Source organism: Homo sapiens, chromosome 1, assembly GCF_000001405.40.
Source record: "Homo sapiens chromosome 1, GRCh38.p14 Primary Assembly".
Taxonomy (NCBI): domain Eukaryota; kingdom Metazoa; phylum Chordata; class Mammalia; order Primates; family Hominidae; genus Homo; species Homo sapiens.
The window spans coordinates 22652180-22669180 of NC_000001.11; the positions used below are offsets into that span (position 1 = coordinate 22652180).

Genomic DNA, 17001 nt, shown 5'->3' on the forward strand with positions numbered 1-17001 from the left:
CATTTATCACAGAAGCAATGAAGCCTCATGTCATTCCGTGTTTAACACCAGTCTCCCCCCGTAGAAGGGAGGCCCCATGGGGGCAGGGACCATGGCTGATTTGCTAAGAGCTCTCTCTTCAGTGCACATGGAAGCAAACACTAAATATTTGTTAAATGGTGGGTCTCCCCTCTGGGCCTCAGTTTCCTCGTATATAAAATGAGGAGGATGGGCCGAGTAACCTCAGCCCCTCTCCGGCCCTAACTTGGCGTGATTCCAGGATCGAGAAGAAGCAACAGGCCCCTGCCTGGGCCTATTATTGTCATCAGCGTCCAGCCCTGCTGGAAGCAGAGGGAGGGGTATCAATAAATAATGAACACATTTAAAATTCATTATGAGATTATTTTCTGAGAACAGGGAAAGAGCAGGGGCACAGAATGGGAAGGAAGCAGAAGAGATGAGCCCAGAAAGGGGAAGCCTGGGACATGAAGTGATATTAACAATGAACACGTGCACAGCCCTTTACAGTTTACCCCCAGACACTTCCTCCCCCATCATTTCCTCCATTATCCTCCCAGTGGCCTGTGAGATCTGTATCTGTAGAGCAGGTACAATTATGGTCCCATCCTATAGCAGAGAAAATTGGGGCTCCCTTGACTGACAACACATCAACTGGCAAGTGGCAGAGGCGGGATTGGAATCAAAGGCTCTGACTGTAAGCCAGCACTCAGGCAGCGGGCCCGCCACATGATGCTCACTGAGGAACACCCCTGCCCAGTGTAGAAGAAGATCACGAGGTCAGAGAGCCTGGGAGGGTGAGCTGTGGATGTTCCCCCAGGACAGCGTGTTCTCCCCACAGCTGCTGAGTTGGCAGAACCAAACTTGCCACCCACCCGTCTCATTTACAGTAAATCCAGTGGGTTGCAGAAATAGGACCTGAAACTGCCTGAGGGCAGCAGGGTGGGGGGACAGTGAGGGGACGGGAAAGGGGCCAGCCTGCTGGTCCATGGGAGGGGACCGTCAGGGGAAAGCCCTTCCCGCCTCTGGGGAAGGGAACTTCCGCTTCGGACCGAGGGCAGTAGGCTCTCGGCTCCTGGTCCCACTGCTGCTCAGCCCAGTGGCCTCACAGGACACCAGCTTCCCAGGTGAGGACGGGGCTTGGCGCCTGGGGGAGGCTGGCAGGGCCAATATGGCAGAAAGTGGTGATTCCGTAAGTGTGAGCTTTGCGTCACCTGCCTCGGAGCCAGTTAGGCTGTTTAACAGTGCAGGTAGCTGGGCCCAATCCCAGACCTATGGGACCCAGATCTCTGGGGTGAGTTGGGGAGTCTGCTGCTACCCAGGGCCTAGCGGATGGGCAGGCCACCTAAAGCGGGAGCCTGGCACATAGGAGCTTTGGCATCGCAGAGACTTGAGCTGAGTCTGGCTCTGCACCTTATGTATTGGTTATCTTGGGCAAGTCACCTAACCTCTCTCAGCCCGGCCCCCCTACAGAGAACAGAATCTTTCAGCACTGCTGTGCCTTACAGGAGATCAAGCTTGCAAAAGCTTAGTGCATGCCCTGGCTCAAAATTTATCAGTAAACCAGAGGCAGGAGTGGGATTATAAGCCAGTCGCTCCTGCCCGGCCCAGCATTTCCCCAACACCTTGCTTATTTCCTCATACTCGCTGAGAAAGCTCAGCTTGACTCTTCCAAAGAAATAAGGGGATGTGCAGGTAGAGTTACGATGAGTTCTCAGCTAGTACTGAGTGAGCGCAATGTTTGTGCAGCTGGGGAGTGGGATGTGGCACTGCACGGGGCAGGGGGGACCTTATTTCTTCTAAGCGCCTTCTCCTGTCATCCTTCTGGCAGCCCTGTCAGGTTGAAATCAGCATTGCCAAGAGGCTCAGAGAGGTTAAGGCACTTGCCTGAGGTTATGCAGCCGGTAGCAGATGGGGCTTTAAAGTCAAGTGGGCCTGACTCCATGTTGCGGAAAGGGACTGCTGGACCGAAGGAGATGGAAAGGTCAGAGCCTGGGGGGAGGACAGGAGAAACCGCGCTGGCAATGATGATGGGCTGGCACAGGCAGGAGGCAGTTAAACCAGATGAGTTGTAAGCCCTAACCCAAGGCTGAAACTCGGTGGCTTTTGAAATGGGCTAGAACCAGCACTTTCCCACTCCCCCTGCCCCTGGCTTCCCCAGGAAGCCCAAGTCCTGTCAGTACCCTGCTCCCCACCCTCTCTCCCCACCAACTGGTCACAGCTCTCCACCCCTTGCTGCCTCCAACTGACAGAGCCCCTCCCTCTAAACACAGTCTTTCAAAGGGATTGTCTTTTTTTACTTCTCCAACCATCTTCCCTTCTGTTCAACCACTCAGGAATTCTTGGATGACAGTGATAATAATAAAATAGCTAATATTCATTAAGAATTTCCAACATGCCAGGCTCTGTTGGAAGCTGTAACTCATGTCCTCGCACATACCCTATGAGGGAGAGAGTAGCATTATCCCCACTTTATAGGAGGGTAAACTGTGGCCAGAGAGAAGGAGTGATTTCCCAAGTCCCTTAGCTAAGAAGCAGTAGAGACCTTATGTGAACGCTGAGTGTTGCTTTCCTTGTGACACTACAGGCTCCCGCCACCAGGTGAATGTGTGCTGCCTAACAAGAGCAGCAATCATCGTGGTGGTAAAAAGCCACTTTCACCGAACACTGACCATGTGCCTACCACTACCCTTGGTGTGTCCCATGCATTAGTCCTTTTATCAGGCTGTCTGGCTTCAAAGTTTATGTTTTTACCACCAGGTACAGTGGCCTCTTAACATAACATTGAGTTTTAAGATCCAGTGGATGTGGGTTTGACTCCCAGCCACACAGGAGCTGTGTGACTTTTATCAAGGTGCTTGCCCTCTCTGATCCCGTTGCCTCATCTGTAAAATAAGAAAGCAAGAGTGCATTCTCAGGGGCTGAATATCAAATTACAGGGGATAATGGCATGCAAGCCATCTGGCTCAGAGCCTGGCCTATACGTACCCAACTTATTAAAGTTGTTAAATTGCCATTTTGTAAAACCTTTAGCAAGAGCAAGAGTGAGAGCTGATGCTTATTCATGGATAAGCAGGACCATGCCCCTGAGCCACCCTGTCTTCAGAGCATAGAGCCTGACAGAACCTAAAGCTGTCACCAGCATTCCCTGGCCACACTCATCTTTACAGCTTCCTTTCCTTGGTGCACAGTGTCTGGCATAACTCAGGGCTTTCAGCAAGAAATTGATCAGGACTAGGCTGAGGGGCTGAGGCTGGTTTGCAGAGCATAGGAGCCAAATATCAGTAGGCCTTGTCTGGTCCCAGGGAGCCCTCCACATGCCAGACTCTGGGGTTGGGACAGCCAGCATGTGGCAGAGAGGGTAGGAGTTTGGCCACAACCCTGCTGTTAGAATAGTTTGCTGGGTGATTTTTGGGTAGGTTGCTTTCTAAGTTCCGATCCTCAGTTTCCTCATCTGCAAGATGGGAAATTAATCACAACCCACTTCCCCAGGGTGTTGAGAGGATCAGAGAACAGCAGCAATAGCAGTAGCAGCCACAAGTCCCAATGAGAGCTTGGGGCTCAAGGCTTTATGACTCTTTCCCATCCATGGTCTCACCTGGGTCCCTGTGGCCACTCTGGGAAGTAGGCAGAGACCACTCTGCTCCCCCATTTTAAGAGAGGATACAGTTCAGCCTCTGAGGAAAGGTTTCCTGGAGGAAGAAGGCTTTGACCCAAGCTTCGAATGAAGAAAAAACATTTGGATCTGGGCAAAGGTGGAATGGGCTGCCTCGAGAGGTAATGAGCTGCCCATCACTGAAACGGTGCAAACTATGGATGGAAGAGCCCTTGGCAGAGATGTCATTTCCTCACACTCTGCTGAGAAAGTTCAGCTTGACTCTTCCAAGGAAATAATGTGATGTGCAGCTAGCGTTGTGATTAGTTCTTAGGGCTGAGTGAACACAACGTTTGTGCAGCAGGGGAGTGCGTTGAGGCACCACACGGGGGACCTTGGCAGAGGTGTCATTGAGGAAACTTAAGAATAGGCTGAAGGGTCCTCAGGAACTTAAACATGGAATTGCCATAAGCGGTAATTCCTCTCCTGGGTATAAACCCCAAAGAATTAAAAACAGATACTCAAATCCTTGTTCACAAATGTTCATAGCAGCACTCTTCACAATAGCCAAAAGGTGGAAACTTCCCAAATGTCCACCAATGATGAGTGGATAAACAAATAGCCAAGCGAGATGGTGCGTGCCTGTAATCCCAGCTACTCAGGAGGCTGAGGCAGGAGGATGGCTTGAGCTCCAGAGTTCGAGACCAGCCTGGGCAACAGAGTGAGACCCCATCTCAAAAAAAACCAAAAACCCCAAAACCAAATTGTAGTGTGTAAGTGGAAGGTCTGTAAGTGGAAAGACACAAACGGTATTTTCCTCTGCTCTCACACCACAACAATCAACACAGAAGACTTCTGTGACCAAATGTGGGGGGTTTCTCCCCACACACCAAGCAAGCAATCAAATCTGCTGGGTGTCTTTCCACTCAGTTCTGACACTGTCTAGGAATAGCATCAGACCCCACAGGCTGAGAGCTCAGTCCCACAAGACTGCTCCCCCTCAGACACCATTTGCAAGTCCAGGCCCCCAGAACTTCTGACCAATCAGCTTCAAGTTGGGGTTCTCACAACCCCCTGCTTGGGTTTGGATTCTTTGCTAGAGTGGCCCACAGAAGTCGGGGAAACACGTTTACAAGTTTATTATAAACAATACTATAAAGGATACAGATGAGATGCTCAGGGTGAGGTATGAGGGAAGAGGCGTGCCACTGTCATGCCCAGGTCCCTGGGCATGCTGCCCCCGAGGAACCTCCTCGTGTTCAGCTATTTGGAAGCTCTCTAAACCTAGTTCTTTGGGATTTTTATGGAGGCTTTATTATGTAGGCACGATTGATTAAGCCATTGACCATTGGTAATCAATTTAACCTTCAGCCCCACTCCCCTCCCCAGAGGTTGGGGGGTGGGGCTGAGAGTAGACCCTCTAAGCCTGCCTTGGTCTTCCTGGTGACGAGCCCCATCCTGAAGCTACCTAGGGGCTGGCAGCCATCAATCAATCATTAGCATACAAAAATACCTCACTTTGGAAATTCTAAGGATTTTAGGAGTTGTCTGCCAGGAAAGAGGTAGAAGACCAAATATATACTTTGCAATATCACATGTACCCATACAATGGAGTATTATTCAGTTATAAAAAGGAATGAAGTACTGATACATGCTACAACATAGAAACATGGATGAACCTTGAAAACATTACCCTAAATGAAATGAGTCAGACACAAAAGGTCACACGTTGTATAATTCCATTTATATGAAATAATAGGAATAGGTAAATCCATAGGGACAGAAAGCAGATTCATGGTTGTCAGGGGCTGGGGGAAGGAGGATTGAGAAGAAACTGCTTAACGGGCATAGAGTTTTATTTTGGGGTGATGAAAAGTCTTGGAACTAGATGGAAGTGAGGGTTGCACAAGACTGTGAATGTATTCAATACCACTAAAATGCTTGCTTTAAATTGGTTAATTTTATGTTGTAGGAATGTTGCCTCAGTTAAAAATATATAGGCTGAGGGTTAAACTAGATGAACTTAAAGGCCACTTTGTCCTGAGAGCTAATGGCATGGAACACTGGCCATGCTGACCAGTTTGAGACAGCCCACCGGCTTCTTCCTAGTTCTTTGGGATTAAAAAGGGGCCATCACTGCCCTCTTGCCAGAGTCACAGCTCTGAGAATATTCTACCAGCAGAAACAGCCTGGTATGCTGGCAGGGACATCGGCTTCATTCCTTCCTGTATGACTCTGAGCAAGTGACTTGGCCTCCCTGAGCCTCAGTGTCCCCTTTGGTGTAGGAATCACAGTAGATGCAGGGATGCTCTAAGCATGCAAGGTGGCCCGTTCATAAGCAGCATCATACCCTGAATTCAGAAGCTCTACTGAATAAGAGCTTTCGGGGAATAAAACCCCAAACTCATAGTAGCTTAGTTGCCTCTCCACTCTTGCTTCCTGTCACTTGAACTCTTGCTCCCCTCTGTCATACTGGCCTCCTGCTGATCCTCAACATCCTAACCTCTGTCCTGCCTCTGGGCCTTCTCCATATTCTCTGTCCTCCTGGAACATTCTTGCCCCCACCTTTTCTGGACCTTCAGGTCTCAGCCTAATCATCACTTCCAAGAGTGGCTTCCCCTTGGAGAAGACTTTCCTGGTGGGAGGACTTCCCTCACAAAACCCACCACCTCCCACCTCCAGCCCAGTTACTCTGCCTCCCAGCATCCTTCTCTTTCTTTCAGAGCACCAATCACGGTCTATCACTATTTCTATTTACTTTATGCTGACCCATTTATATCTACCTGTTTATATCTGTCCCCACTAGGGGCACAAGTCCAGGAGGGCAGGGACTGTATCCGTCTTGTTCTTCACTGAATCCCCAGCACCTTGCACAGAGTCTGGTAGATAGGGGACAATCAGTGAACATATGGATGGAGGAATGGATGGATGGAGGGACAGATGGAGGAATAGAGGGATGGATGGATGAACGGATGGATGGATAGATGGACAGAGGGATGGAGGGATGCAGGGGCAGAAGGATGGATGGATGGATGGATGGAGGGTGGATGGATGGACAGATGGACAGAGGGATGCAGGGATGGAAGGATGGAGGGATGGATGGATGGACAGCAGGATGGAGGGATGGATGGATGGATGGATGCAGGGATGGAGGGGTAGAGAGATGGATGGATGGATGGAGAGGAGGATGGATGGATGGATGCAGGGATGGACAGAGGGATGCATGGGTGGATGAATGGATGCAGGGATGGAGGGATAGAGAGACAGATGGATGGATGGATGGATGGATGGATGGATGGATGGATGGACAGGGGGATGGAGGGATGGATGCAGGGATGGAGGATAGAGAGATAGATGGATGGATGGATGAATGGATGGATGCAGATAGAGGGATAGAGAGATGGATGGATGGATGGTTGGATGCAGGAATGGAGGGATAGAGAGATGGATGGATGGATGCAGGGATGGAGGGATAGAGAGATGGATGGATGGATGGACGGATGCAGATGGAGGGATAGAGAGATGGATGGATGGATGGATGGATGGATGGATGGATGCAGATGGAGGAATAGAGAGATGGATGGATGGATGGATGGATGGATGGATGGATGGATGGATGGATGATAGGATCACCACGGTGGTAACCTCTCACATTGTCTTCTCCACAGGAGGCGTCTGACACAGTATGATGATGAAGATCCCATGGGGCAGCATCCCAGTACTGATGTTGCTCCTGCTCCTGGGCCTAATCGATATCTCCCAGGCCCAGCTCAGCTGCACCGGGCCCCCAGCCATCCCTGGCATCCCGGGTATCCCTGGGACACCTGGCCCCGATGGCCAACCTGGGACCCCAGGGATAAAAGGAGAGAAAGGTACCATGGGATTTAGCAGGACACTGGTAATACTGACCAAATTTCCCGTCTCCTGCCTCCCAAGTCACAGTTGCCTACCTTTGAGACTGCAAAAGCACTGGCAAATCCAGCAGCTTGCTGAACCCTTGCAGTAACTTTGCAAGGAGGGAATTCTGATTCCCATTTTACAGAGAGGAAAACTAGCATCTAGAAAGTCTGCTGACTTACTCAAGGTAGCCCAGTAAATGTTGAGGCTAAGACCAGACCACGGATCTCTTACCATTAAATTCAGGTGGAGAGGGAGTGCCGCTGTGGCCACAGAGTCCTGTGTTTAAACTTACCTCCTGGGCAAATGACTTCTCTCTGAATTGCTATTTCCTCACCTGTAAGATGGGGGCAATGGTACTTTTTTGGGGTTGTCATGGGGTTCAAATGAGACTCCCAGCCTTGAAAACCCCTCTGTAAAATTTGGTTTATTCATTCATTTAACCTACCGTTATAGAGCAACTGTCTGTGCCAGTCACTCTCCTCACATAATCTCATCTAATCCTTACAATCCCACAAAATATCTTCATCCCCATTTCACAGATGAGGAGGCTGTCCTCAGGAAATGTGACTCAGTCAAGGTGACACCACTACTAATGGCAGATGTGACACGCAAAGCACATCTCTCTGTCCCCAGATCCCATCTTCTCAGGCCCTATTCTCTGCCACTCTACTGGAAAATCGGTCTTATCTTGTGTTGTGCCAAACCAAGGGGTAGTGGCTGCTTGGGGGGTGGAGTGAGAAGGAGTCTAAAGTCCATTTCCAGGAGCAGCAAGAGTGAAGGCCATGGTTGATTAGGGATGTCTGCCAGGGGTGAGGGATAGAGGGAGACAGCACTCATTATCCCTGCTCTAGCTGAAGAAGGACCCCCACACAAGCTGGGGAGGAGGGCCGGCCTAGCACCTTCCTTAGCAAGGAGCCATTCCCCTCCCCACGATCAGCAGCCCCCAAGAAGGTCAAGCATATCACAGACTCAGGAAGCTGGGCTGGAGGGAGACCCAGAGCCCCTGCCTGACACTGCCTCCTTCGTTTTACAGATGGGAGACTGAGGCTCAGAGAGAGGCAGGGCCCTGCCCAAGGTTCCAGCGCAGGCCTCCTTCTTTTGGTCTCAGTGATCTCACTTCTTTGGTCTCTGCTTTTCCAGGGCTTCCAGGGCTGGCTGGAGACCATGGTGAGTTCGGAGAGAAGGGAGACCCAGGGATTCCTGGGAATCCAGGAAAAGTCGGCCCCAAGGGCCCCATGGGCCCTAAAGGTGGCCCAGGGGCCCCTGGAGCCCCAGGCCCCAAAGGTGAATCGGGAGACTACAAGGCCACCCAGAAAATCGCCTTCTCTGCCACAAGAACCATCAACGTCCCCCTGCGCCGGGACCAGACCATCCGCTTCGACCACGTGATCACCAACATGAACAACAATTATGAGCCCCGCAGTGGCAAGTTCACCTGCAAGGTGCCCGGTCTCTACTACTTCACCTACCACGCCAGCTCTCGAGGGAACCTGTGCGTGAACCTCATGCGTGGCCGGGAGCGTGCACAGAAGGTGGTCACCTTCTGTGACTATGCCTACAACACCTTCCAGGTCACCACCGGTGGCATGGTCCTCAAGCTGGAGCAGGGGGAGAACGTCTTCCTGCAGGCCACCGACAAGAACTCACTACTGGGCATGGAGGGTGCCAACAGCATCTTTTCCGGGTTCCTGCTCTTTCCAGATATGGAGGCCTGACCTGTGGGCTGCTTCACATCCACCCCGGCTCCCCCTGCCAGCAACGCTCACTCTACCCCCAACACCACCCCTTGCCCAACCAATGCACACAGTAGGGCTTGGTGAATGCTGCTGAGTGAATGAGTAAATAAACTCTTCAAGGCCAAGGGACAGTGGTCTAATTCAACTCTGTGTCCCAGCACCTGGCACACCAGAAGTGCCATGCTCAGAAATGTTGGTTACATGAATGAATGAACCATGAATGAATGAAATCTCTGTCCGTGTGCTGCTCTGTGCCAGCCACACAGTGGGAGGTGGGGGTCCAGCACCAACTATGCTCCCAGTGGTAGCCTACACCTTTTCCTGATTCTCTCACTAATCCTCACACTCCTCCTGGGAGAGGGCGCATCGTGCCCAGCTTACAGAAGAGCAAACTGAGGATCAGAAGGGATGAAGGGATTGTCCACAATCTCACAGCAGGGCTGGGATTCAAGGGCAGGCCTGCCCATTGATGGCCTGAGACCTTTTTTAAAGGCAACATGTCTAGGCCAGCCCCTAAAGGGGTTCTGTGCTTGTCCCTTCCTGTTACCCCTACCAAGGATCAAGGGGTCATCCTCCAAGGCTTTAACTGACCTTGGAGCAGGAACCTTTCCCTTTCTTATTCTCCCCACATGCCCTTCCTCCCAGTATCTTCTCAGCCTAGCACAAACTCAGCCATCCAGTTAGAGTAAATGTCACTCCCCCGCTCAAAAACCTTCAGTGGCTCCCCACTGCCCACCAGATACAGTCCCAGCCCATGAACTTGGCCTTCCAGCCTCACTCTACTGGGCCTTTCTGTCTTCTAAACAAGCCCACCTCAGTGCCCTTCCTCGCACTGTTCCCTTACCTAGAAGCCTTCCACTCTGCCCATCTACCCATCCTCATTCAAGCCACACCTCCTCCCTGAAGCAGGAACACCCTAGCTCTCGCACGCTCACTCCTCTGGCCTCCTCTACCCCAGAGCGTGCACAGCCAGCATTTGGCTCCTCACCCTGTCTCCCCAGCTAGGCTGTAGCTCTGCACCCTGCTCATCTCTGAGCCAGCACAGAACCCATGATGGACAGCAGCCACTCAGTAAAGATTTATTGCCTGATTGGCTGAGACCACAGGACTAGGACTCCAGAGTCCCGCCCAGCTCTGCACCTGCTCTCCTCAGCCTCTCCTACTAGCCCCAGCATCAAGACCCTCAACCAATCCTGACCTGAGATGGGAGGGATTTAAGATAGTCCCACCCGTGTCAACCAGTCCAGCCTCCTGTTTGGCTGGCCTGTCTCTCAGGATTCCATTCATTGGGTGCAGCTTCTGCCCTATCTCCTGGGCCTGGGGCCTGGCCTTGATGACCTGCCCTAACCCCAGACTAGGTCCAACCGAGACCTAGAATCTTTTCTCCAGGAGCTGGCCCTTATTTCTGCTGCTCAACCCTTTCAATGCAAACTGCCTGGCCTTTGACTCTAATACTAATAGTTATGATAGTAATGGTCACACCACAATTGAATTACTGTGTATCTAGTGCTTTGCGCACATCAGCTCATTTAATTCCCAACCACAACCCCTAGGAGGAACATAGTATCATCCTCATGTGGTTACATGACAAAAAATATAAAACTCAGAGAGGGCAAGCAATTTGTCCAGGGTCACAGAGCTGACAGCTACACAGCCAGGTTTGGAGCCTGCTTTTGTTTGCCTCAGATTTCATCACCTCCTTGCCATCCACATCTGTTGGAACCCCTTCTGCAGCAACCCCCCTCTGCAGCCCCATGACCTCTCACCTGAACCCATCTGACCTCAGGAGTTCACATTCTCGAGCCTCTGCAGTTGGGTCCATCCTTGCTAGGCTACACTGCACCCGGAAGCAGAGCTGGCTGCTGGTGTCGAGCATGCGCAGAGCACCCCATCTTGCTGCACAGACCCAGGCAGAGCCGGGCTTGTCTGAGAAGTCAGAGCTCCACGCTCCTGCCTGCTTGTCTCGGGAGCTGCTGTCAGGCCGCCTGGCTCTTCTGCAAGACCAACCCTCCTCGGACCCCTGACCCATAAACCCTGACCCTGCCCCCTGTCCTCCACCAGACCCCCGCAGTCAGGACACTCATAACAGTGCCCTTGTCGGGCCCTCCCAGGAGCTTCCAGACCTGCCAGAAATCCAGGCTCTGACTGTGTGTCTAGCCATGGCCATCATAGTCCAACATCCCTTGCTCTACGCAGACGTGCATGCATCTCGACTCTTCACATTTATTTATTTATATTTATTTTTGAGGCAGGGTCTTGCTCTATTGCCCGGGCTGGAGTGCAGTGGCGTAATCATGGCTCACTGCAGCCTCGATCTCCACGGCCCAAGCAATCCTCCCACTTCAGCCTCTCAAGTAGCTGGGACTACAGGTGTGCACCACCACACCCAGCTAATTTTTGCATTTTTTTGTAGAGATGGGGTTTCACCATCTTGCCCAGGCTGGTCTCGAACTCCTGGGCTCAAGCAATCCACCCGCCTCAGCCTCCCAAGGTGCTGGGATTATGGATGTGAGCCACTGCACTCAGCCTTCACCTTTATCATGGCTCTTTTCCAACCAGTTGGGATAGGGTTGCTCCTACAGCTCTCTGGGGAGATGAGTGAGGTTTCATTACAAGAACCTGGACCAAGAACAGTGTGGGAACCCAGAAGTGATCTGAGATGAGTCCTGGTAGCTCACCTGTTTTATCACTGCCCAGACACCTTCCTTTTCCCCTTGGTCCCATTCTCAGAGGCAGTGGGACTCAAATCTTCTGCCTGGGCTAGCAGTTGGGCAGGGAAAGGAAGGGAAGTGGCTCTCCTCAGGCTTATGACCCTTGAACCTCATGCACCCCCTTGATCCTGACCCCCATCCCTCAACATGCCAGAACCCTTTTACTTGCAAGTGACAGAAGCCCCTTCAAACAAACTTGGGAGAAAAAAGGGAGTAATCAGAAGAACCCAGGAGCAGGGGAGCTGCTCAGTCTCAGTGGACACAGGGTTGAGACCTGGGTGCCCCCCAGACCCGGACTGGGATATTACTCTGAGACCTCTCTTTTCTGCATCTCTCTCTGCAGAACTGCCCTCTCAACTGTGAAGGCAAGCGGATGCCCCCAGATGACGTCTGGACCCCCAAGTTAGCCCCCATCTTTCATAGAAGTGACACAGAGTCTAACATCTCCAATCCCCAGTTCCCAGGAGAGAGATGCAATTGCCCCTGCTTGGAATCAGGATACTCCTCGCCCAATCAGCTGAGGAGTAGATCATTCTAATCCAGTGCTTCTCAAACTTCAGCAAGCATCACAGTCACAAGAAGGGCTTACTAGAATTTGCATTTTCTAACAGTTCCCATAGGGTGCTGTTGCTTCTGGATTTGTTTGTTTTTTTTTAAATAGAGATGGGGTCTTGCCATATTGCCCAGGCTGGTCTCAAACTCCTGGGCTCAAGTATTCCTCCTGCCTCGATCTCCCAAAGTGCTGGAATTACAGACACGAACCACCTCGCCCGGCCTGTTGCTTCTGTTTTGGAGACGACCTGTTGAGAACCACTGCCCTCATTATATTGCTCCCATTCTGTAGATAAGAATATTGAGACTCGGGGAGGGATGCTATTTGCCCATATCATGCAGAGGATCTGGGATTTCAATCCAGGTCTATTTAATCACGTGTTGAAGGCCTGTGCACTGTGGCCAGACTACAGGCAACCCCTCCTTTGTTTCAGGCTTTGTAATTTATAAGTCTTATCTCGTTTAATCCGTGGTGGGCCCGTACTATTGCTATGACCATTTCACAGATATGGAAACTGAGGTACAGGGAGCCCAATGGGTGGGGGCAGTTCTCAGAACAGCACTGGCAGGCCCTGTTAAATATGTCACCTTCTGACTACAGTGCTGAGTCCTGGCTTCACCCCCTGTTGACCCTGACCAACACGCCCCTCCCAGTGACCCACAATGCTTTAAGTCAGTTACGAGAGGAAAGGAGAGGAAAGGGCAAAGAAGCAGGAAGGTGGGGGCTTAATAAACAATGGTAACAACAACTCACACCATGCACGGTTCTATGTACTTCATGTTAACCTGTGTAACCTTTACAGTCATGTTCCCCTTTTACAGGTGGGAACACGGAGGCAGAGCAGTTCAATGACTTGCCCGAAATTCTGCAATTAGTTAAGTAACAGAACCAGGTTCAACGCCCGGCAAGTCAGTTCTGGAGCTGCTGCTCTGTCACTGCAGACAGAAGGATCCCCGAAGGGTGGTGCTGGTGGCAGTTGCGGGCACTAGCTCTTGACTTAGACCTGAGTCCGAACCCTGCCTGGGCTTCTCACTAGCTGTGTGCCTCCCATCAAGTGACTGCCCTGGTCTCCTGTTTTACCCCCATACAAATAAACAATGCACCTGTGATGTCCTGGCGCAGATCCTTGATTCTTTTCTTGGATTAGACCCCTAGAAGTGGACTCCCCAGGTGAAAGGATATGCACTTTTGAAGGCTTTGAAATGTGTTTCCAAATGGAGGGATGGGCTGTCAAGGCTGAACATGCCAGGCCTGTTCCAGGCTTGCTGCCACCAGGGGGGAGCAGACACCAAGACAAGGACTGCCTGGAAAAGGGACCGGTGGTTACGCGGGACCGTGGAAACTCCTCCCTCCCTGCTCTCTTCTCCCCCAGGCCTTCCCACTCTCTGGGTGGGCTATGAACTTCCAGGGAGGTGCTGAGGTCAGCTTTGAAGACCCAGGTTCCTTCTAAACCAGCGTCCTCAACGTGGGGTCCCAGCATCAGCCTTGCCTGGAAACTTGTCAGAAATGCAAATTCTCTGGCCCCATCTCAGTCTGGCTGAATCAGAAAATTGGACGCAGGAGCCCAGCAGTCACCTGCCCAGGTGATTCTGATGCAGCCAAGCTTGGGAATTACTGCTTTAGACCAGGGGTTGCCTCCTTTTTCTGTAAGCAACCAGGAAATATTTTAGGCCTTGCAGGCCATACAGCATCTGTTGCAAGTATTCAGCCCTCTTTTTGTAACATGAAAACAGCCATGAGCAATATATAAATAAGTGAGCATGGCTATGTTCCAATACATCTTTATGAACACTAAAATTTGAATTTTACATAATATTCTCGTGTCACAAAATATTTTCCTTTTGTTTTTTTTTCAACCATTTAAAAATGTAAAAACCATTCTTAGCTAGCAGGCTGCACACAACAGGCTGTGGGCTGAATTTAGCCTATGGGTTATAGTTTGCCAACCTTCTCTAGTCCCAAATATGGCTCTAACCTTGGAAAAGAGGAGCAGGAAGTTGAGCCCAGCACTGCCTGACTCCCAAGTCAGTACTCCTTCCTGTAAGTTCGTCTGCCAGATCCCAACCTTGGGACACTGGCAGAAAAACTCTCTGGGTCTCACTGCCTTTAACAGTAAAATGAGCATTGCAATCTCTGTGCAATCTGAGGCACTGGGTCGCCTATTTTACTGTGCAATGAGATCCCCTAGAAACTTGCTAGCATGCAGTTACCATACCAGAGGTGCTGATGGTTCTGTTTCCATCAGATTAGACAATATCTGGAGGGGCCTGGGAATCTGCACTTCTCTCAAATACCTTGCTTTGGTTTCAAGGTGGCCCTCCACCTCCAGCCAGGGGCTGGGCTAATGAACATGAAAGCTTGAATAGCAGTAGACGCAGCCTCTTCCCCCAGGAATCCAGTGGCTATATGGGGAGAGAAAATGGGAAGAAGACTTTTTGTCTGTCAGCACCTACAAAAGATGAGAAATGCAGCGAAGAAGAAAAGCCTACGGGGCTTTGAGAGGCTGGGTTCAAATCTCACCTCTACCACTTACAAGCTGCGTGTTCTCAGGCTAATTACTTAACCTCTCTGGGTCACAGTTTCTTCATCTGTCACATGGGGGTGATAATCAGACCTACTCCAGAAAGCTGATGAGGATTAAATGGGATTCTGTGTGCAAAGCCCCTGGCACACAGAAAGTTCCCCACAAGTAGCAGCTGTCGTTATGGTGATGGGTTGTTTAGAATCAGGATGCTATGGTGGTGCAAGCGTTCCCCAAATTTTCATGTACACAGAAATCACCTGGGGTCTTGTCAAAATGCGGATTCAAATTCAGTAGGTCTGGGATAGAGGCCTGATAATTTGCTTTTCTAATAAGTTGCTGGGAGGCATTGATGCTGCTGAGCTGGGACCACGCTTTAGGTAGCCAGGGTTAGAACCAACCGGTGGTTCAGCATTTTGATTTGTTATGAAGTTGAATTCCGTCATCCATAGGCACCAGTTAGCCTAGGAGCTGGTAGACAGCAAGTGCTCTGTAATTAACATGTTACCCGTACTGTTGCTATCGTGCTCATTGTGATGATGTTCTGATGGTGAGGATGCGGGAGTTCAAGGTCAGGCAGAGGAAAGGACAAAGGGTGGATCATCGTTTCCCCAACGCTGAGCATTGTGGTCTCCCTCCTGTTTCTCCTCCATGCCCTCGCCTTTCTGGTCTCCTGCTGACAATGGAGCACCAGGTGCCCTGCCTTAAACCACCCCCCTACCCAACACACACACACACACACACACAAACATGCCATCCTTTCAGAGCAAGCTGCAAGCTGCATTTATCTTTGTGCATAGCCAGGAGGCATTCTCATAGACAACCCTGTTGACTAGATGCAGGAGAAAAGGGGGTGTTTGTTCGAGAAACCCAGCAGCCCACCCAGGGAGGGACACCCGCAGTGAGGGGACCTGGCAGAGCAGGAGGCACCCTGGATGGGAAGTAAAGAGCTCCCAGTTTTACGCTGGTCTCGGAACCTGACTTACTGTGCAACTTCAGACAAGTTGCTACCCCTCTCTGAGCCTCAGACTATCCCATAGAAAGAGGGGCTTGCATCAGACTCACCAGGGGAGCCTGTGATAGTGTCAAGCCCACCCCAAGCCTATTGATTAGGAACTAGGGGAGCTTGGTGATGCCCTCAAGAAAAGGGTAATGAATGGTGACAAGGTCACCGACCAGTGAGAAAGCAGTAGCCCAGTCCCTCGATTACACCTTACTTATCCAGAATCCTCAGCTACGCAGAACACGGCCAGGACCCAGGAGGGAACAAAGGAGGCCAAAACTGACATCTCACAGCCCAGAGAGCCTGGAAGATTCATGTTTATCAAATGAATGCATGAAAGCATGGCTATATTAGTTAATTAATTAATTGACTGATCGACTCCAGAGAGTATAGGACCTGGAGACAGATATACATAATATATGCTCAGTGAATAGCTGCCAAACGGAATGAAGAAAGGTAAGATGGAAGGACTGTCAAAATTATGTCCTGCCTGGAAAGATAGGGCCTATACTAATAATGTTTCCTAAGCCCTTGGGACAATTTCCAGGGGAAGGCTTGGCATCTGGAAGGAAAGGAAAGCAGGCAGGGAGAAGCCAAACTGAGCCTCATGAACGTACCCGTTGTGCAGACATTAGCCCATGTCATCCTCACAGCAGCCCCTGATGTGGGCATCATTACCACTGTCCAGAGGCAAGGACCCAATGGACAACTGAGGCCCGAGAACCTCCAGAGAAACCCACTAGGGCTCAGAGAGCATTCAGGGCTTTAGGAACCTACCTTTCTTTCTTTCCTTCCTTCCTTCCTTCCTTCCTTCCTTCCTTCCTTCCTTCTTTCCTTCCTCCCTCCCTCCCTTCCTCCTTTCTTTCTTTCTTTTCTTTCTTTCTTTCTTTCTCTCTCTCTCTTTCTCTCTCTCTTTCTTTCTTTTTCTTGAGACAGAGTCTCTCTCTGGCTCCCAGGCTGAAGTACAGTGGTGTGATCTTGGCTC

General features: G+C 50.8%; 1 protein-coding gene across 3 annotated transcripts; it reads left to right on the top strand.

The window, feature by feature from the left end:
* Positions 1057-9458, top strand: C1QB (complement C1q B chain). Of its 3 annotated transcripts, NM_001371184.3 has the most exons (4): positions 1057-1124; positions 1829-1981; positions 7261-7464; positions 8633-9458. In NM_001371184.3, the coding sequence occupies exons 3-4, from the start codon at positions 7284-7286 to the stop codon at positions 9205-9207; spliced, it is 756 nt and encodes a 251-aa protein (NP_001358113.2). In that variant the 5' UTR covers positions 1057-1124; positions 1829-1981; positions 7261-7283; the 3' UTR covers positions 9208-9458. The 3 variants fall into 2 exon arrangements, with proteins under 3 accessions (NP_001358113.2, NP_000482.3, NP_001365085.1); NM_000491.5 differs by lacking the exon at positions 1829-1981.